At 40.9% G+C, this 21,790-nt stretch overlaps 1 protein-coding gene across 10 annotated transcripts in view, besides 5 other annotated features; it reads left to right on the top strand.

The window, feature by feature from the left end:
* SLC9A7 (solute carrier family 9 member A7) overlaps positions 1–21,790 on the top strand; it is a 159,868-nt gene that overhangs the window by 43,923 nt on the left and 94,155 nt on the right. The window lies entirely within an intron of this gene.
* Positions 952–1,051: an enhancer, noted in NCBI's record as "active region_29574". NCBI's record gives its function as "activates an Ori minimal core promoter by ATAC-STARR-seq in GM12878 lymphoblastoid cells {active_cell/tissue: GM12878}" and the evidence as "EXISTENCE:reporter gene assay evidence [ECO:0000049][PMID:35858748]".
* Positions 4,046–5,245: an enhancer, noted in NCBI's record as "BRD4-independent group 4 enhancer chrX:46569386-46570585 (GRCh37/hg19 assembly coordinates)". NCBI's record gives its function as "activates an origin of replication core promoter dependent on BRD2, P300/CBP, MED14 and CDK7 cofactors, and independent of BRD4, by STARR-seq in HCT116 cells {active_cell/tissue: HCT116}" and the evidence as "EXISTENCE:reporter gene assay evidence [ECO:0000049][PMID:35650434]".
* Positions 9,644–9,733: an enhancer, noted in NCBI's record as "active region_29573". NCBI's record gives its function as "activates an Ori minimal core promoter by ATAC-STARR-seq in GM12878 lymphoblastoid cells {active_cell/tissue: GM12878}" and the evidence as "EXISTENCE:reporter gene assay evidence [ECO:0000049][PMID:35858748]".
* Positions 9,794–9,963: an enhancer, noted in NCBI's record as "active region_29572". NCBI's record gives its function as "activates an Ori minimal core promoter by ATAC-STARR-seq in GM12878 lymphoblastoid cells {active_cell/tissue: GM12878}" and the evidence as "EXISTENCE:reporter gene assay evidence [ECO:0000049][PMID:35858748]".
* Positions 10,955–11,024: a silencer, noted in NCBI's record as "silent region_20792". NCBI's record gives its function as "represses an Ori minimal core promoter by ATAC-STARR-seq in GM12878 lymphoblastoid cells {active_cell/tissue: GM12878}" and the evidence as "EXISTENCE:reporter gene assay evidence [ECO:0000049][PMID:35858748]".

Below are 21,790 nucleotides of genomic sequence, written 5' to 3'. Positions count from 1 at the left end.
AAATTATTTTTAGGATACTTATTGAGAGAAATGAGATATCAATGTGAGTAAGGAGCTTGGGTAGGGTCTTAAAGAGTTGAAATTAAACCTGGGAACATAATCCAAGTGGAAAGGAATTTTGTCAAGATGGAATAATTTAATCTAGCGCAATGTCTGATATATAGTACATGCTCAATAAGTATTAATTTGCTTGATGAATGAATCTCTTTCAACAAATTTATCTTCTAGTTTGCCAGTTCTCTCTTTACTGTGTCTAGTCTGCTGTTGAACTTGAAAATGAAATAAAAATGCTAAGGTCATGTTTTTCTTTTCCAGGATTTCTATTGGTTCTTTCTAAACTCACAATCCTCTACTCCACACTACACTCCTTAACCCTTTCCCTGCCTTATTTTTAGCCATAGCACCTACCGTATTCTAACATACCATGTAATCTACTTATTTTGTTTCTTATGTTTCTTCCCTTATTAGAAATATAACGAAGTCCAGAAAAGCAGGAATTTGTATTTGTTTCGTTCACTGACATATATCTCCAAACACTAGAACAGTGCCTGGGACATAGTAGGATCTCAAAAAATATTTGTCGGGGATCTCAAAAAATATTTGTCGGGGATCTCAAAAAATATATGTGTTGTCCATAAGTATGGAGGCAATAGTGAAACCTGCCAAATTAGATTGGGGTGGAGATGAGGTCCTTGTAGAGTCCAGTAGGAAATAAAATTTGGGGAGGGGCTTCATTATGGCCAGATTATATAGAGCATCCTGTGTTGAGGGGAGGTTTGGGGCTTCAACGTAGTAGGCATGTATATTATTTACAAAGCTGAGCCAAATATCCATAATTTACTTGTCATCTGGGAGACATCAGGAAATAGCAGAAAGAACTCTGGCTTTGGAATTGGAAGTATGCAAGTTGGAATCCTACTTCTACAGTTTACCAGCTATGTGGTCTTAGGGCAGTTACTTACTCTTGAAGATCCAGTTTTTTTTTTTAACTGTAAAGTGGTGTTAATAATCCCTACCTCATAAAGTTGTGGTGAAAATTAAGAGATAATATTGTAAGTAAAACCCCTAATACAAAGTGGGTGCCCAGTAAGTAGTTCTTAGACTACACTGACTGATTTGAAACTATTAGCATACTAAAATGTACTTTTTCTGTTTGGGGCACATTACTTAGAGTAGTAGGAAGAAGCAGAAAACATTGAGTATAGTATATTGAGGTAGAGTATTGTAACTGTGGTTTAGGAAAAATAACTACCAACTGTGAGTAAAAATGAAAAGGAAGATACTATATTTGGGTGTTTTACAGTCACGAAAAAAAAAAACCCACAGAAATAACTAGTATCTTTTCACTTCTCCAAAACGTTTTGAAACCTTGAGTTAATTAAGAAGGGAGAGGAAAATCCCCTAATAATACTAGAGTCACTAATAGTGTGGTCTCTGAAAGTACCGAACCACAGGGAAGTCACCGGGTTCTGGAGGAGATCAGCTTTCCTGGAGTGGTCCAGTCCTCATGGATATTCTCTTCTGGGTAGGACCTGCATGTTGACATGAACCTAGGGCACTAACTTGACCCTCCGCAGAAAAAACTTTCAATGTTAAGTCCTCTGCTTGCTAAAGGTCACCCAAGAATATTTCTCCTGGAGAAGCCTTGTGCATTTTCTTTTCTTTTCTTTTGTCTTTTTTTTTTAATTTTTTTTGAGATGGAGTTGTACTCTTGTTGCCCAGGCTGGAGTGCAATGGTGTGATCTCAGCCCACTGCAACCTCCACCTCCCGGGTTCAAGCGATTCTTCTGGCTCAGCCTCCCAAGTAGCTGGGATTACAGGCGCCCGCCACCATGCCCAGCTAGTTTTTTGTATTTTTAGTAGAGACAGGGTTTCACCATGTTGGCCAGGCTGGTCTTGAACTCCTGAGCTCAGATGATCCACCCGCCTCAGGCTCCCAAAGTGCTGGGATTACAGGCATGAGCCACCATGCCCAGCCTGCCTTGTGCATTTTCTATATAACTGGTTGTTAAAGATGTTATCCTTTTTTGCTAATTGACCCATGGATAAGGGGCCATCTGACAGCTTTGAGAATTTAGGATTAAGCAAACATTTATTTCTCTTAACTGGTTATTCCCTCTTATCAGATTATGAGAATTAAATAGCACACAATGCTTCCTTTTTGTTTCAGTTATCAAGAAACTCAGAGCACCATGTAATGCTTGATTACAATAACAAAAAGTCTAGGAGGACCATAAATTTACTTCCTCCTTGTATGCTATAGTTCAGTACTGTCGTTTTCTATTTTAAGTGGCTTGCTGTGTAGAGCATCTTAAAGGCTTTACAAAATAGCCTGAGTATACCTAATTTGGCATTTGACTAATTTAACATTTCCCCAGATGTGACTCAAACATTTTGTAAATGTAGTGAATTTAAAAGACCCAGGTGTCTAGCAGTAGGGACATGGTTTAATAAACTGTGGCATATTAATACACTGCATTTAGAATTTTTATCTTAAATTCTAAAGCAAATCTGTCACTGAGCCCTTATACAAGACTCAGTGCACAATGTATAACTGAACAGCAGTGAACATGAATGAATTTATGTTTCAACGTGAGTAACTGATATGGTTTGGATATTATTTGTCCCCTCCAAATCTCATGTTGAAATGTGACCTCTCATGTTGGAGGTGGGCCTGGTTGGAGGTGTTTTGATTAATGGGGGTGGATCCCTCATAAATGGCTTGGTGCCATCCCTGCCACTAATGAGTGAGTTCTTGATCTGTTAGTTCAGGTGGGATCTGGTTGTTTAAAGAACCTGGCATCTCCCCACTCTCTCACTTGCTCCCTCTCTTCATGTGACATGCTGGCTCCCCTTCGCCTTCCACCATGGTTATAAGCAGCCTGAGGCCCGCCTCAGAGACAGATGTGGACACTGTGCTTCCTGTACAGCCTGCAGAACCATGAGCCAAATAAACCTCTTTTCTTTATAAATTACCCAGTCTCAGGTATTTGTTTATAGAAATGCAAATAGACTAACACAGTAACCTGCAAAAAACATAATATGGAGTTAAAAAAGGGAGATGCAGCAAAATTCATTCAGTTAATACAACAGAAAATGCTGCTTGTCCCCCAGTATCTGCTTTCCATTTTTTTCCTCATAATAGACTTTTAGAAGGTTCAATGACCTCCCAGAAAGAAGACTTTATTTTCTTGCCTCTCTTGCAGCCAAATATGATCATATGACCAAGTACTTGGCCAATAGGATATCAGTGGAAGTGTGTGTGTGTGTGTGTGTGTGTGTGTGTGTGTGTGTGTAATTTAGAGGCTGTGCCGTTAAAGGGAGTGCCTTCCCTGGTTGTTTTCTCGTTTCCCTTTGCCTGACACGTGGGCCTGATGGTGAGGGCAACACCCTCTTGGTGGTAGAGCAGGAAGATTAGGGAGGGGTAGTGAGGGAGGAGTAGGGAGCCACCACTTCATCCCAGGAATACTTATGCACTGACTCTTCTGTGAAGGAAAGAGAAACTTGTCTAAGCCACCATTATTTTGGTCTTTGTTCCAGCAGCTACACCTGCTTCCTAATTCTATATGATACTATTTATGTAAGTTAAAATGAGCAAAAGAATATTTATTATGTATCTGCGGACATGTATATTTAGTAAACCTGGACTGGATACAGACTAAAATGAATGACAGTTGCCTCCGAGGTAGAAGGGAAGGAATGGGACCAGGGAAGGAGGAAATACAGCCTACTTCCTCTCTTTACACTAAGCCACAAGGGATTCTCTCTTTTCTGTGTGTCGTGCTCAGTCAACTATGTCAGAGTAGGACAGTCAATTCAATGATGAAGAATCTGTATGTTTGTGATCTTTGTGATTGCTTTATGCCACGCGGTTTTCTGTTGGCTTTTAACAGTGACTTTTACCCCATATGAAGTGATTGGATTAAGAGAAAATAGTGGCTCACCCTTAAAACAAATGTGGAGGACAGAGCCATGGCTGTCATAACAGGAGTGAGCTATGAAATAGACCTGGGAAAACAGATGCTATTGCAGTTTGATGGTAAGGCCTGTGGCACAGGTGTTGCTGGCAGGCTGCAAGAGGCCCCAACAGGGGGCCTTCTCCATTTGCCCAGACTCTAGACAATGCCATTGCTGGCTCAAAAGCTGAAATCGTCAGCAGCCTGGGTGACTGTCTCTTGGGGTCAGGCTCACGTTAATCAGGCTCAGAGAGCCTGAGGCTAAACCAGAGTGCCAATCGATTAATTTATGATAAGAGATTTGGCTGTTGCAGAGCAGAATGTATGTTCAGGCTGAGCAGAGCATTTTTTTTCTGAGTAGGCAAGTAGCAGGGGACCCCAGGTTGTCATCAGAAAGTTGCTTAGAAAGGACAGAGGAAGAACAGAGGCAATTGGTTATGGTATGCTCATAAATAGACTGGAAAAGCCTGATGGGTCCATCTCCTTGCTGGAATAGCCTTGACTCCACCTCTCCCCACTAACAGCCACTGTATCCTTTCCTTTATCAGTGGTTACATGCATGATCTCATCATCTGACTTTTGGAGTCAGCCTTTCTTCTCTCTCTCTCTCTCTTTTTTTTCCCACAGTATTTTTTTCAAACTAGATTCCACAGAATGGACTGGGTTTTCCCTAAACGAATCTCAGGTGCATTCCAGGTGAGTCACATTGCAGTTTGGGGATTCCCAGGCTCTTAAGGGCATACAAACAGCTCATCTGGTTTACTCCCTCAATTTGCCAGTTACATCCAACATATGACAATTTTGCTGGCTAACACTGAGGGAACCTTCATTCTCTTACCTCTAAATCTATGGGGGCCCTCACTGTCCACTTCCCTATTCCAGGTACATTCCATGATGCATTTAGTTGTATTTCTGAATGCGGTTCTTCTTGTCACATGGCAGTCCTTCTGTCTTCCCACTTGTCCCTGCTTTCACTCTGTTTACCTAAATGTGGAAGTGCCTAAGGGGCAGTCCTTGCTCACATAACTTTGGCTCTCTGATGTGTGGCTTTAGAGATCATTTGTGCACAGCTAGCTTCCAGGTCTTTATATTCAGTCCTGAATGTATTCTTACAATACAGTCCTAAAAGTCACTCCTTTTATAAGTAGTTGTTGGACAAGATAATACATATGATAGTACAAAATTCAAAAGTTAGAAGGCAAACTGAAAAACCGGCCTCCCTTTCTCCCTGGAGATAAATGTATTCCATTGTCTTCTCTGGAGACAAATACACTCATCAGTTGAGCCATTTCTGCCTGAATGTGCCATGCTGTATTTAAAATCAGCGTATGTAATAACGCAGTTGGCACTGTTGCTCTAGAGTGCCATCAACACCCACCTAGATGTTGAGGTGCCCTCCCTTCTCACATTGCCTAATGGTTCCCCGGAGAACCTTGAGAACCCCACTGCTATAGTATAAACTAAAAGAATGGCTGCTGGAATTTCCTTACGATGCTTTTTTGCTTTTGTAGAATTCACCTTCAGTTAGCTATGAACTCTCAGAGGATAGCAATTGTTGTATGCTGTTTCTGGCATATCCCCTTTAGTGCTTTACACAGTCTTATACATACAGTAGGGTTTTTTTTTGTTGTTGTTGTTATTTTAGGTAACATTTTTTGAACTTTTTTTGTTAGTTTAGGTAATGGGTGTAGGCATTTGTTTTTAAAAACATCAAAAAAAGTAACTGCTGGCAGAAAATGTAATGAAAAGAAGATGAGCAGCTGCCTGTTGTATTATGTATTATGATAGCTTAGTACCTTTAAATTTTTTTTTCTGAACTTATTTTTATTTTTGAGAACAGAGTCTCACTCTGTCACCCATGCTGGAGTGCAGTGGTGTGATCTCAGCTCACTGCAGCCTTGACCTCCTGGGTTCAAGCAATCCTCCCACTTCAGCCTCCTGAGTAGCTGGGACCACAGGTGCGCACCACCGCAGCAGGCTAATTTTTGTATTTTTTTTTACAGAGACAGAGTTCCACTTTGTTGCCCACGCCGGTCTCGAACTCCTGGGCTCAAGTGATCCTCCTGCCTTAGCCTCCTAAGTAGCTGGGATGACAGGCATGTGTCACCACGAGTTTAGTGCCTTTTTCAGTGGAACTTCTTTCCTTGTTCTCTGATAGTGTACCACTGTCCTACCTCAGCACATCCCACGACACTGCCTGAGCTCCTTTCCTCCTTACCACTTACAACATACTATTTAACGCATTTATCTTATTTTTAAACATCTTTCCCCCTGCTAGAATGTAAGCCCTATGAAGGGAGGGCAGGATTTTTGTCCCTGTTGTTGACTCTTATGTTCCCAGAGCCTAGCATATGGTAAGCTGCTCAACAAATATTTGTTGAATGTATAACCTGGTGAGATACCAATTGTTTATGTTGTCATTGAATTGATTACCATCACCAATCCTAGATTTCTCTTTGTTCTGTCCCCCACTGATACTAGGTATCAGTGCTTTGAGACCAGGAAGACATTTTTCGTTTCTCTGCAAACAAAACCTGTAGTTTGGGGCTGAGTGACTTAGAGGCATGTGGAAGGAAGAAAGAACATAATCAGTGGTGCTAGAACACAACGCCTTGCTTGGGCTCTGCTGTCAGTGCCTGACATATTCTCCAAACAACACTCCCCACTTGTATTTTACTAGCCTAGTTTGAGTACCTCTTTTTTTTTTTTTGAGACGGAGTCTCACTCTGTCGCCCAGGCTGGAGTGCAGTGGTGCGATCTCGTCTCACTACAACCTCTGCCTCCTGGGTTCAAGCAATTCTCCTGCATCAGCCTCCTGAGTAGCTGGGATTACAGGCACCCGCCACCATGCCTGGCCAATGTTTTTGTATTTTTAGTACAGCTAGGGTTTCGCCATGTTGGCCAGGCTGGTCTCCAACTCCCGACCTCAGGTGATCTGCCCACCTCGGCCTTCCAGAGTGCTGGGATTACAGGTGTGAGTCACCATGCCTGGCCTTGAGTACCTTTAATAAAGGTGATTCATGTCCCTATTTGTTATTTCCACCACAGAGTATATCATTTTTCGTGGCTTAATTTTTCTTTTTTAAAAAAATTTTTGAGACAGGGTCTTGTTATGTTACCCAGGCTGGTCTCGAGCTCTTGTGCTCAAGCAGTCCTCTCACCTCAGCCTCCCAAGTAGCTGGCACTAAAGGTACATGTCGGCCGGGCGCAGTGGCTCACGCCTGTAATCCCAGCACTTTGGGAGGCTGAGGGCGGGTGGATCGCTTGAGGTCAGGAGTTTGAGACCAGCCTGGCCAACATGGTGAAACCCCTTCTCTACTAAAAATACAAGGATTAGCTGGGCATGGTGGCGTGCACCTGTAGTCCCAGCTACTTGGGAGGCTGAGACAGGAGAATTACTTGAACTCGAGAGGTGGAGGTCGCGGTGAGCTGAGATCGTGCCACTGCACTCCAGCCTGGACGACAGAAAGAGACTCTTGTCTCAAACAAACAAATAAATAAAGGCACATGTCACCACACCTGGCTCAATCTCTCCTCTTTTTATGGTTAATATCTCTTTTGATTCTTTTGCTTAGATGCTGTCACTCTGATATTAAGGAGAAGGCCAGTTTATTGCATTTGAGTTTGAGCTTTAACTAGGTTATTTAGTCTCACACAGAAAAATTCTGTTTTGTGGCCACATTTTGCCCATGTAGTCAGGCAGCTGCCATGAATATGTGAACCTTGGGCTCCCTTTCCTGAGAGGGCAGCCAAGTAGACCTTGGCATAAATACAGAATTGAGAGGATGCTGGCTAGTGACGCGGGCTTTTTGGTAGGGGCTGCCTGGCCACCTTGCCTCAAGTGATCTCCTACTGTCACTGTGGATGTCACATGCCTCCTGGCTGTGCCACTTACTAGTCAGATCCTTAATTAGTTCTAAAATGGATTTCATGTCCTTTGTGAGAACGGAATTCACCAAGATGATATCAGGGAAATCTCATTACCTTATAAACACAAAGAGATCAGATCAACAGATCTTACTTTGCTGAAGAGTTGGGCTTTTGTCCTCTAGCTGGCGAGGAGCCATTGGAAGCCTTTAAGCCAGCAGAGGTGTTTCTTTTAGAATGACTATCCTTGCAGTGGTTTTCAGGTAAAGTACTGAGGAGTGTGAGATGGATGCAGGGAAGGCAAGAAGCTGTCAAAGAAAAAGTTTACCTGAGGCTGGGTGCGGTGGTTCACGGCTGTAATCCCAGCACTTTGGTAGGCTGAGGCAGGCAGAACACCTGAGGCCAGGAGTTCGAGACCAGCCTGGACAACATGGCGAAACCCCACCTCTATTAAAAATATAAAAATTAGCCAGGTGTGGTCGTGTGTGCCTGTAATCCCAGCTACTCGGGAGGCTGAGGCAGGAGAATTGCTTGAACCTGGGAGGCGGAGGTGGTGGTGAGCTGAGATCATGGAGAATAAAAGAAAGAAAGAACAAATAAAAAGTTCACCTGAGAAGAATGGCTGCCCCTGGGCAGAACCTAGATGCCTCCAGTGCAGGTGAATGACATAAGGATAACTCCCAGGTATCTGGTTCTCACAGGGACAGGGAATGCAGAGAAGAAACAACACTGATGGGGAGGAGAGAGACTTACTCTTGGATCTGTTGAGTTAGAGGTGTCAGAGAGATGGCAAGCAGAGGTTTAGATGTAGGTTGTGGAACACCATGGGAGAACTCTGTGCTCAACCTACAGTTGCTAGAACTGCTCCTTTAAAGTTCCTGCTGGGTGAGTGACTTTTAAAATATAACCTCTTATTATGGAAGGTTTCAAACACAGTAGAGACAATAGTATAATAAACCAAATCCCATGTACCCATTACCATGCTTTGTTAATTACCAGCTCATGATCCGTCTTATTACATCTATACCTTCCAGCTACCTCTTCCCATGTCAAGGTGATTTTGACACAAATTCTAGATGTCGTGTCATTTTATTAGGTTGGTGCAAAAGTAATTGCGGCTTTTGCCATTACTTTCAATGGCAAAAGCCGCAACTACTTTTGCACCAACCTGATATTTGTAAATATTTCAATATTTATCTCTGAAAGACAGTCTTGTAAAAATATAGCTACAATACCTTATCCATCCTTAAAAACCATAGTAATTTTGTGATATTTGTCAAATATCCAGTGAGTTCGCATTTCCCCAGTTGATTTTTTTTAAGCTTCATTTATGATGTAACTAAGGGCCCTCCAACAGCATTTGGTTGATATGTCTCTGTGTCTCATAAATCTCTCTTAATCTGTAGATTTGGGTGTAAAACTTTTCAGAGCATTTTGGGATCTATTTGTGTGAACCTGAACTATAACCAGCACTTCAACAAAAGAAAGAGGTAGAGGAATATGGGATAATGTAGGGATCTTCTCTTTTTTTCCTTTTGAGACAGGGTCTCACTCTGTCATCCAGGCTGTAGTGCAGTGACCCAATCATGATTCACTGCAGCCTCAAACTCCTGGGCTCAAGTGATCCTCCTACCTCGGTCTCCCGAGTAGATGGAACTATAGGTGCATGCCACTGCACTCAGTTGATTTTTTAATTTTTTTGTAGAGACAACATCTCACTGTGTTGCCCAGGCTAGGCTCAAACTCCTGAGCTCAAGCAATCCTCCTGCCTAATTTTTTAAATTTTTTGTATAGATGTAGGGTCTCCCTATGTTGCCCAGCTGGTCTCAAACTCCTGGACTCAAGTGATCCTCCCACCTCAGCCTTCCAAAGTGCTGGAATTACAGGCGTGAGCCACCACACCCAGCCAAGATCTTCTTAATTGGAGGTGTGATTTTAAGTTTTTTCCCCTGGGAGGTATGATGCTTCCAGGAAAGCTTGATAAAGCTCTTGTACTTGTAGCCTCTCTCTCCTGCAGTCAATTCTCTGTACTGCTATGGTATCTTCTAAAAGTCAGTCCTGATTGTACCCCTTTTTAGTCCAGAAGTCTATGTGGCCTCTGTTTCCTGTGTGATAAAGTCTTATCTCATGAGCTTGGCTTAAAGGGATGGCTGGCCATCTTCCTTGTGCCAACCTCCCTGCTTGACATTTGGTCTCCACCCTTCCCCTTTCTCCCCTGTGTGGGCTAGCTCCAGCCATGCCACTGTATCTAATGTGCACTTTCCTACCTCATGCTAAGGGCTTTCTCTGAAATATACTTCACGCCTCCTCTTTCCTCTGTACAAGTCTGACTCATCTTGAAAGGCCCAACTGTGAAGTCACCTTTTCTGTGAAGTTTTCCTCAACAACTTTTTCATCTGAAAGACTTATTCATTCTGTTGTCTGCTATGTCGCCTTTTTATGCCTCTGTTTTGTGGTGGTTGTTACAGCCTGGTTGGCTTTATTGTCAGTAGTGTGTTGGCAGGTAGGACAGGTGTGTGTTTGTGTGTTTGTGTGTGTCTCAAGAGGGAAGATACTGTGTCCCGGCCAGGCCTGTGTCTCCTTAGCACTCAGCACAGAGACCTTCCCTCCTGAAATACAGGGTCCACCAGTTGGGTACAACTCTTAGGAGGATGAATAACAGATTTCCTATTCTAGATACTCCACTCCGTGTTCTGTTTTAAAATAAATTTATTAAGCAGCCTATTAAAAATGACATAGTTTAGAGCTAGGCTGAATTAAAACCAGTATATAATTAGATTTTATTCTGTCTTTGTAAATGCATAAAGGATATCACTGGGTATGTGATATGAAGCATTCCTTGTGTCCCAGACACCAATTTCATGACTCAGGAAATTTCAGCAAAAACACAAAACTCTAATCTTTCCAGATACTGTTTTGTTGCCTGCCAAAACTTAGACATAAATTGCAGGGGGAAGAAAAGCATTATGTCCACAATTAAGAGAATTGACACTTTATGTGTATATAATCTGTTACTATTATTTGTGCTCAGATTACAGTTTTTGATGTTCATTATTTCATTCTTTCAGCAAACATCTGTTGAGTGACGACCACATTCCAGACATTGTGCTGGGTTCAGTGGAGCTTGTAGTCTCATGAGGAGGACGTGCAGTAACAGTTGTATAGGCAACGACAGCACAGGGAAAAGAGTGGTTGACTTTGTGACACAGGTGGTCCTGCAGGGTGAATAGGAACTGATCAAGTAGACAGGGTAGGGAGGGTGGAGCTCAGGAGACATACCTGACAGAGTGGACAGTGTGCGCCAAGAATGGAGAAGTAGGAAATGGCATGGCTTACTTTAGTATTTAGCTGTCATTTTCATTTTTAATAGGAAATATATATTGTACATGTTGTAAAATGCAAATAGATCAACAGTGACAGTTAAGTCCTATCTTTCCTCTGACCCTCAGCCACACAAGTCCTCTCCTTAGAGAGAGCCACTGTTACATTTTCTTGTAAATGCCCTTCCACGGAATTATGATACATTTATAAACCTGAGATAGATTTTTATCTCCCCTCAAAAGGTAACATGTTATGCAACTTGTTTTTCATCTTGCTTTTTTCCACCTAATGCATAGGATGTGTGTAGAGTGGCTGCATTCTTTTTAATGTAATGGCTATAGACTCCATTATGTGAGTGGACAACAGTTTATTTAGTTGGTACCCTTTGGAGGAGACATTTAGGCCTTTTATAATAATGTGGTGTCGCCTATCCCATGATGTAGATTGGAATAAGTGAGCAACAGCCAGACTACAGAGCTGAGGGTTGTAAATATATTCAACTCTTAGTTCAGATTCTGCTAACAAACAGAAAGTCAAGCATGTTGGAGAAAGAACCAAATCGAATTCCAAGAAATGCAATATATTCATTGAAATTACAAACTCAAGATAAAGAACTGAAAAGACAGCACTGAATCCTAACCACTAGACTACCAGATTTAAATGTAAACTATATTAATCCTAGTAGAAAACCTAGAAAGTACCCTTCCTGACATCAGACTTGGCATAGAATTTTTTGGCTAAGTCCTCAGAAGTAATTGCAACAAAACCAAAAGTAGGCAAGTGGGACCTGATTAAAGAGCTTCTGCACAGCAAAAGAAACTATTAACAGAGTAAACAATCTACAGAATGGGAGAAAATATTTGCAAACTATGCATCTGACAAAGGTCTAATTTCCAGAATCTGTAAGGAACTTAACAAGCAAAAAACAAATAATCACATTAAAAAATGGACAATGGAACAGACACTTCTCAAAAGAAGACATACAAGTGGCCAAGAAGCATATAAAAAAAGTTGATTATCACTGATCATTTGAGCAATGCAAATCAAAACCACAGTGCAATACCCTTCCATACCAGTCAGAATGGCTGTTATTAAATAGTCAAATAAAACAGATGCTGGCAAGGCTGCACAGAAAAGGGGAACACATATACACTGTTGATAGGAATGTAAATTAATTCAGCCACTGTGGAAAGCAGTTTGGAGATTTCTCAAGGAACTTAGAACTACCATTTGACCTGGTAATCCCACTACTGGGTATATATCCAAAGGAATATAAATTGTTCTATTATAAAGACACATGCATTCATATGTTCATTGCAGCACTATTCACAATAACAAAGACATGGAACCAACCTAGGTGCCCATCAACAGTGGATTGGATAAAGAAAATGTGGCACATATACCCCAGGGAATACTACACGGCCATAAAAAAGAACAAGATTACGTTCTTTGCACCAACATGGAAGTAGCTGGAGGCCATAATCCTAAGCAAATTAACACAGGAACAGAAAACCAACTACTGCATGTTCTCACCTGTAACAGGGAGCTAAACATTAGTACACATGGACATAAAGATGGAAACCATAGACACTGGGTACTATGAGAGGGGGAGATGGGGGTGTGGATTGAAAAATTACCTGTTGGGTACTATGTTCACTACCTGGGTGACAGGATCCATACTCCAAACCTCAGCATCATGCAAGTATACCTGTGTAACAAACCTGTACATGTTCCCCCTGTATTTAAAATAAAAGTTGAAATTATATTTTTAAAAACAGAACTGAAAAGAGAACTGGTGAACTGAACAGTGGATCTGAAGAAATTATCCAGAAAGTGCCACAGAGAGGCAGAAAGAAAATGTATCCATATGCTGAAATACTACACAGCAGTGAGACCACATGAACCAGAACCATGTGTCAATCTGGTTGACTCTCACAAGTGTATTATGGGGAGAAAAAAGGCAGGTTACCTAATAATCCATACCATATATAGTTTAAAACATGCAAAGTTAAACAACATATATCTGTAATACTACTCTAAGGGCACAGTAAACACCAAATTCAGTCTAGCAGTGTCCAGAGAATGGGGTATGGGAATCGAAGGACTTGGGTGGGAAGGGATACCAAGGATGCTTAGCTCTCTTGGTAATGTGCTATTGATTAAGCTGAGTGGTGGACACCCAGATGTCCAGTAGACCATTTTTATCCTGATAAATTCTTGTAAAATATATTAAATATACAAAATAGTATATGTAGCTTATATGCAGAAAAAAATGAAATAAGCATGTCCATACTCACTGCCCGGCTTGAGGAACAGAAAATTACCAGTGCCTTTGAACCACTCCCCCCATGTATTCCTTCCCAATTATGGTATACTTTGCCCCTGAGGTGTACTATATCTAGTCCTTCATGTAGCTGATATATTTCATAATAAGGGTTTCTTTTTGTTTTTGTTTGTTTGTTTTTGAGACAGAGTCTCGCTCTGTCGCCCAGGCTGGAATGCAGTGGCGTGATCTCGGCTCACTGCAACCTCCGCCTGCTGGGTTCAAGCAATTCTCCTGCTTCAGCCTCCTGAGTAGCTGGGACTACAGGCATGTGCCACTGTGCCCAGCTAATTTTTTGTATTTTTAGTAAAGATGGGGTTTCACCATGCTGGCCAGGCTGGTCTCAAACTCCTGACCTCGTGATCCACCCGCCTCGGCCTCCCAAAGTGCTGGGATTACAGGTGTGAGCCACCGCGCCCGGCCCATAATAAGAGCTTTTAAGGGGATAAAGCATCTTACTAGTATATTTGATAATTAATTTGAACTCAAATTTTCATCCCCCTTTTTAAGAATTGTTGTGTTGGTCATCTAAGTAAAAATTATATCTTGTGTGCCTATGATAAAACTTCTAAACATAACATATTTTCAGCATCTCCCCAAAATATGTGATGTTTCAAGAGCATAGTGAAAATTAATCTTCCATCTGGCCCCATCAGTTTTAATCAGGGAGAACCAAAGTTAAGTAGTTTCTTGGTTAGTGCCTTAGGATAATACCATCTACAAAAGTGGAGTTCATGTCAGGAGGTTATATGTCAGAAGTCTCCTTTGGAAGATCAAAAAAGCTCATTTTGATGGTGGTGTGGGAAGAGGGAAAAAGAAACTTAAAAACATATCTGGAATAAGGGTTAGGGACCCTGTGTTAGAGCAATGGTACCTTAACTTCTCATCTGTAAAAGAAATGTTTACTAATTGGGAGGTGAGATCTGAGTTAGCAATAGGGATGTTGTTGATGGTCTAGAGAAGCTATGTGCAGTTTCCCAAAAAGATGGTGTATTAGTCAACTTGGGCTGCCATAACAAAATACTATAGACTAGGCGGCTTAAAGAAGAGAAATTTATTTCCTCACAGTTCTGGCGGCCAGAAGTCCAAGATCAGTGTACCTGCATGATTGAGTTCTTACAAGTGATGTGTACATTGTGACTTAAAGAATGGTTAAGAGTTAACCTGGTGAAGATAGTTACGGAGGAGAGAATGGAAAGAGAGTCCCCGGCAGAAGCTCAGAGGAAAAACTGATTAATCTATTTCAAAGCGTAGCTGATGTTTAGCTGAAAATCTTGACCTGGGTCTCTAAAGAGTGACAAACAGGTCAGGAAAGTTTGTGTTCATCTGTAGTAACCTTTTTAATCCAGTCCTTAGGTAACTGACTTGGATTTGATTAATAAGTTTAATTAAAGGGAGAAATAGACAAAACAGCAATAAAAATGTGTTAAATGATCCCTCAGCCACAGGCACACTGTCCTTGATTTTGGGAAATGTCAGAGTGTGGGACAGAAACAAATATTCATACAACTGATTTAAAACAGAAAGCTGATATTATAATTCCAAAGGGCCTTGGACCTAACCCAGGCATCTGCTGTCCTCCCATTATTTTCTGTTCAAATATATCTGTGATTTTTTTTTTTTTTTGAGACAAGGTTTCGCTGTCACTCAGGCTGGAGTGCGGTGGTGCAATCACGGCTCACTGAAGCTTCAAACTCCTGGGTTCAAGTGATCCTCCCATCTCAGCCTCCCGAGTAGCCACACACCACTATGCCTGGGTAATTTTTTAATTTTTTTGTAGATACGAGGTCTCACTATGTTGCCCAGGCTGTTCTAAAACTTCTGGGCTCAAGCAATCCTCCCACCTCAGCCTCCCAAAGTGTTGAGATTGTAGGCATGAGCCACTGTGCATGGCCTGTGAATTTTATTTTAGAAGCATTTTAAAGAAAATGTGTTTAAGAGTACGTATGGGTGCCCCTCCATATTGTTGGGACTTGAGGGGTCTAACTAGTGATACTCTAAATTCTCTACCAAACTGAAGCAGTTGGGAGATAAAGGAGCCAGATGGGTAGCAATCCCAATGTCTCATTTATTAGTGGCAGAGCTAGTAGAGTATGGCTTAGGTATGTGGCAACAATTGACTTCTTGAGACCGTAGTCCTGGAATAGGCAGCAATAATCCCTCCAGGTCCTGGGACTATTGAGCTAGCACAGGCCCCAACTAGAATGAGGCAAGTATAATCAACCTACACTTGGATACCATATTGAACTCAGTAAAAAGTTCAGTTGTGAAGCCCAAGTCTTCCTCCTTGGTTCTAGTTTTCAATGAGCACCTCTTCCATTCAACATTAGAATGGGCATGTTCTTTTGCAAAGACTATCAGAAGAAGGTATGTGGTCTCCCATAGAGAAATGCTGTGCAGCACAGCAACGATGGCAAGTTCTTCCTGGTGTCTCACCCAAGAGCTTCATGGCGCAATATAACTACATTTTCCATGTCTAGTTTTCTTAAGTAGTATATAAGACCTAAAATCATTTCCCCCTCTTATTACTAACTGTAACATTTTGTATATGAGGAAACTACTTAAAATTGATGGTGTATTTTGAATCACATGAACTTGTTCCATCTTGGTTTGAGTTAAATCTTTGGAATTTCAGCTGTTGAAGAAGAGGGGCATTGGATTGGAGGTCAAACTCTTGGCTGATGGGCTTGAATTTCACTCTTTTAGTGTATTGTTCTAAGGGGATGAGATAGAACTTTTGTCTTGAAGAGCGATTGACTCAGGTTATTTCTTTAATTAAACTCAGCCACTGTCAGAGCAGCACTATTCCCAGGTTGGTGAGTCACAGATTTTCTATTGTATTGTCAAGAGTTATCAGTAGCTACCTCTCCCCCACACTCCAGATTCTGAGCCCTTTTAAGGATGAATTTCTGCCTACTGTCCAACAAAGTGGAGTGAAAAAAATGTACGCAAATCCCTTTCCCCAAGAAATTATTGAAAAGGTAATATGTTAATTCTTAATACTTAAAAGATCACGTCTCAGCACTACAAAGGTGTTTAGGCACTGGAATATAAATCCATGGTAATAGCTAAACTATTCCAAAGTGTAAGTCATTTCACAGGCTGGGTGTCCATATGCAGTAGGGGTTCCCGGGCTTGGGAGAGAGAACAACCAGTCCATAAATGACAAACTTTTATTATGATATATTTATGTCCCATGTACTTTAAAATTTTTAATTGACAAAAATTGTATGTATTGTGTACAACATGTTTTGAAATATCTATACACTGTGGAATGGCTAACTCTGTCAGGGAAGTTGCCCCAATATTCACGTAGGTTCTTTTCTATTTTCCTTAAGCGTCGGCCAGCTTGAGAAATAAAGGGACAGAGTACAAAAGAGAGAAATTTTAAAGCTGGGCATCCGGGGGAGACATCACGTGTCGGTAGGTTCCGTGATGCCCCACAAGCCGCAAAAACAAGCAAGTTTTTATTAGGGAGTTTCAAAAGGGGAGGGAGTGTGTGAATAGGTGTGGGTCACAAACATCAAGTACTTTACAAGGTAATAGAATATCACAAGGCAAGTGGAGGCAGGGCGAGATCACAGGACCACAGGACCGGGACGAAATTAAAATTGCTAATGAAGTTTTGGGCACCTTAGTCATTGATAACATCTTATCAGGAGACAGGGTTTTGAGATCAACCAGTCTGACCAAAATTTGTTAGGCGGGAATTTCCTCTTCCTAATAAGCCTGGGAGTGCTATGGGAGATTGGGGTCTATTTCACCCCTGCAGTCTCGACCATAAGAGATGGCCATGCCCAGGGGGGCCAGTTCAGGGACCCACCCCCAGGTGCACATTCTCTTTCTCAGGGATGTTCCTTGCTGAGAAAAAGAATTCAGCGATATTTCTCCCATTTGCTTTTGAAAGAAGAGAAATATGGCTCTGTTCCTCCGGGCTCACGGGAGGTCAGAGTTTAAGGTTTTCTCTCTTGTTTCCTAAACATTGCTGTTATCCTGTTCTTTTTTCAAGGTGCCCAGATTTCATATTGCTCAAACACACATGCTGTACAATTTGTGCAGTTAATGCAATTATTACAGGGTACTGAGGCGATATACATCCTCCTCAGCTGACAGGATTAAGAGGTTAAAGTAAAGACAGGCATAGGAAATCACAAGGGTATTGATTGGGGAAGTGATAAGTGTCCATGAAATCTTTACAATTTATGTTTAGAGATTGCAGTAAAGACAGGCATAAGAAATTATAAAAGTATTAATTTGGGGAACTAATAAATGTCCATGAAATCTTCACAATCCACATTCTTCTGCCGTGGCTTCAGCTGGTCCCTCTGTTTGGGGTCCCTGACTTCCCGCAACATAACTCGAGCTAATTAGCCTATGCATTACCTCACATACTTTTCACTTGTTTGTGGTGAGAACACTTAAAAGCTACTTTGTTAGCAATTTTTGATAATACAACACATTTTATTAACTATAGTTATGTTGTCCAATAGATCTCTTGAACTTATTCCTCCTAACTGAAACTTTGTATCCTTTGACCACTTTCAAAATTGTATTCAGTTTTTGTAATGTAGCATTTTATGTGTCTTAATAAAAGTCACCTTCTTATCCCAAATTGCTTCAGCTAGGAACCTGGTAGTCATCATTAATTCCTCCCTGTTTATGATCTCCCACAGTCACTCCATCGACACGACCAGTTAGGAGGTTACTGAAGAAGTCCAGGCGAAAGACGGTTGGGGTGGATTGGCACATTGGCCATGACCAGTCCTGGGACTCTGGAGCCAGACAACCTGGGATTGAATCTCAGGTCCTTCGTTTGCATGTGACCTATGTGTAACCTTGGGCAAAGTCCTGTTTCTCTTTCTGCCTTGGTTTCTTCAGCAATGTAATAGGAATAGTCATAGTACCTTACTCAAGGGATTGTTGTCAGTATTAACTCAGTTAATATGCCTAAGATGCTTAGAACAGTGTCTGGCACATGGTGCTAGCAGTCACTATTGTTTTTGTTTATCTGCTCTTTCAGATTGTAAACTCCATGACAGCAGAATATATGTTTCACTACCATATGTCCAGTTTCTACCATAGGGCCTGACACATAGTGGGTACCCAAATATTTTTTGAATGCATGCACGAATGAAGAAATATTAATTCATCAATATATAAATAAATAAGGAAGGAAGGAAGAAAACAGTGATTGTGAGCTATGTTTAGTAAGCAAAACCAGGATTATGATATCTAATCACTTTCACAGGATAGAATTATTGATTTATTTTTTGGTTGCTCCTAAGCACCTGGTTGGTAGAAGCTTTCATGTATTGTAACGCTAAACCTGTAATTTTTCAGGGCTGGGGAGTGGGAAGGGGGTTTTCATTTAAGGACGTCTGTGCTTTAAGAATATTTTAGGTTTGTGGTCCAGCTGACGTTTTCTTTATTTTAAAGTTGGAGAGGCTGGGCGCAGTCGCTCACGTCTGTAATCCCAGCACTTTGGGAGGCTGAGGCAGGCAGATCACCTGAGGCCAGGAGTTCAAGACCACCCTGGCCAACTTGGAGAAACCCTGTCTCTACTAAAAATACAAAAATTAGCCGGCCGTGGTGGCGGGCGCCTGTAATCCCAACTACTCAGGAGGCTGAGGCAGGAGGATCGCTTGAACCCAGGAGGTGGAGGTTTCAGTGAGCCGAGATTGCGCCACTGTACTCCAGCTTGGGCAAGAGAGTGAGACTCTGTCTATAAATAAATAAATAAATAAATAAATAAGTAAAAATATAAAGTTGGAGAAATGAGATTCAAAGAAATTTTTCTAAAGTCAGAAATGTTTTCTCATGTCCAAAGTGGGATACCAACTCTTGTTATATATTTCATTGTGGGTACTCTTAATATATAGGTTTGAGTGTAGTTCAGCCTCTATCTGATTGCCAGCGAGCAAATATGTTTTGAGTACCTAGTATGCCAGGCACTTCCATGTGCTAAGGATACAGAGGGGAATTCAACAGATCCCCCACACCCCACCTTCCATGGAGCTGACAGTTGGACCAGCTAGGCAGACCAACTGTCCAGATGTTTATAACAAAGTGTGGCATGTTTACAAAAGAGGAAGCACATAGTGCAGTGGGACTACAAAGCCTTGGAACCTAGCCTAGCTTAGGGAGTCAGGGAGGGCCTCTTGGAGGAGGTGGCATTTAGGCTGTGTTTCCCATTGGAAAAAATAATAGTAAAGTTGCATTTAGATATACCACCTATATAGTTAACCTGCTATCACTTCCTGAGAGTCATTGTATATTCCCCTCTGTTTCTTCCAGGGTCCTGAAGGATTTACGTTTGTGTTACATATTTGATCTGCATATAGGTATTCATGCGTGTAGCCCTTGCACTACAGAATATATTGTCTGCTGGTCTTACATCAGTTCAGTTCTCACTTTGAGAGATACTTATTGGAAAAGTATGGAACACTAGTACTGGAAAAGGATCGCACATGCGATCTCTAGATTCATTTTCTCATTTGCTCTTTTTTTAAAAAAAAACTTTATTGACATATAATTTACATATCATAAAATGCACTCATGTATACAATTTCAGTGATTTTTGGTAAAATCACAAAGTTGTGTGACCATGATAATTCAGTTTCAGAATATCTTAATCATCCCAATAGGATCCTTCATGCCTTAGCCCCTGGCCACCATGAATCTACTTTCCATCTCTGTAGATATACCTGTCCTAGACACTTCATAGAAATGGAATTATACAATATGTGGCATTTTTGTGACTGGCTTTCACTGAGCATGTATGCTTAGTGTAATATCTTTTAGGTTCATCCATGTTGTAGCATGTATCAAGTTCGTTCCTTTTTCTACTGTATGGATAGACCACATTTTGTTTATCCATTCATCAGTTGATGGACATTTGAGTTGTTTTCATTTTTTTGCTGTTATGAATAATGCTAGTATGAACATTTGTCTGCAAATCTTTGTGTGGACATCTGTTTTCAATTCTAGTCTAGGGTAGAGTGTAAATTGCTGAGTTGTATGGTAAGTTTGTTTTTAACTTTTTAAGAAACTGCAAACTGTTTTCCAAAGTGGCTGCACAATTATACATTCCCACCAGCAGCGTATGAGGGTTAGGTTTGCCACATGCTCTCCAACATATGTTAGTATCTGTATTTCTGATAATTGCCATTCTAGTGGGCATGAAATGGTATTTCATTATGGTTTTAATCTGCATTTCCTGAATGATCTATAATGTTGACCATCTTTTCGTGTGCTTATTAGTCATTCATAATTTCTTTTGGTGAAATGTCTATTCTAATCTTTTGCCCATTTTAAAATTGAATTATCTTATTATGGAGTTATATATTTATATATCCTAGATACAAGTTCTTTATCAAATATGTGTCTGCAGTTTTTTCCTCGTCATTTTCTTAATAATGTCTTTTTTTCTCTCTTTTTTTAAGAGACAGGTTCTTGCTCTGTCACACAGGCTGGAGTGCAGTGGTGTGATCATAGCTCATTGTAACCTCAAACTTCTGGGCTCAAGTGGTCCTCCCACCTCAGTCTTCTTTTTTTTTAATTTTGACTTTTATTTTAGATACAGAAGATACATGTGTAGGTTTGTTACATGAGTATATTGCACCCAGGTAGTGAGCATAGTACACAATAGGTAGTTTTTCAACCCACTCCCCATCTTTCCACCCAAGTAGTCCATCATATCTATTATTCTCATGTTTATGTCTGTATGTGTTCAGCATTTATTTCCCACTTATAAGTGGGAAAATGTGGTATTTGTTTTTCTGTTCCTGCCTTAATTCGCTTAGGATAATGGCCTCCAGCTCCATCCACGTTGCAATTTTTTTGTAGAGATGAGGTCTCACTGTGTTGCCCAGGCTGGTCTTGAACTCCTGGCCTCAAGTGATCCTCCCACCTTGGCTTCCCAAATAATGTCTTTTGAAGCACAAAAGTTTTGAATTTTGATAAAATTTAAATTATCAATTTTTTATTTTATTGTTTGTGCTTTTCATATCATATCAGTGAAAAATTTACCTAACCTAGGAACTCACAGATTTTTTCCCCTAGGCTTTTTTTTTCCTAAAGGTTGTATAATTTTAACCTCATAGATTTAGGTCTTTGACCCATTTTGAACTAATTTTTATATATATAGTATTAATTTTTATATATAGTAGGAGGTCAGAGTCTAAGTTCATCTTTATGCATGTAGATATCCAATTGTCCCAGCACCATTTGTTGAAAAGATTGTCCTTTCCTCAATTGAATTGCATTGTCATCTTTATCGAAAATCAATTAACCATAAACACACCATTTTATTTTTGGACTCTCA

Source organism: Homo sapiens, chromosome X (assembly GCF_000001405.40).
Source record: "Homo sapiens chromosome X, GRCh38.p14 Primary Assembly".
Taxonomy (NCBI): Eukaryota; Metazoa; Chordata; class Mammalia; order Primates; family Hominidae; genus Homo; species Homo sapiens.
This window is presented reverse-complemented; position numbering and strand designations above follow the sequence as displayed.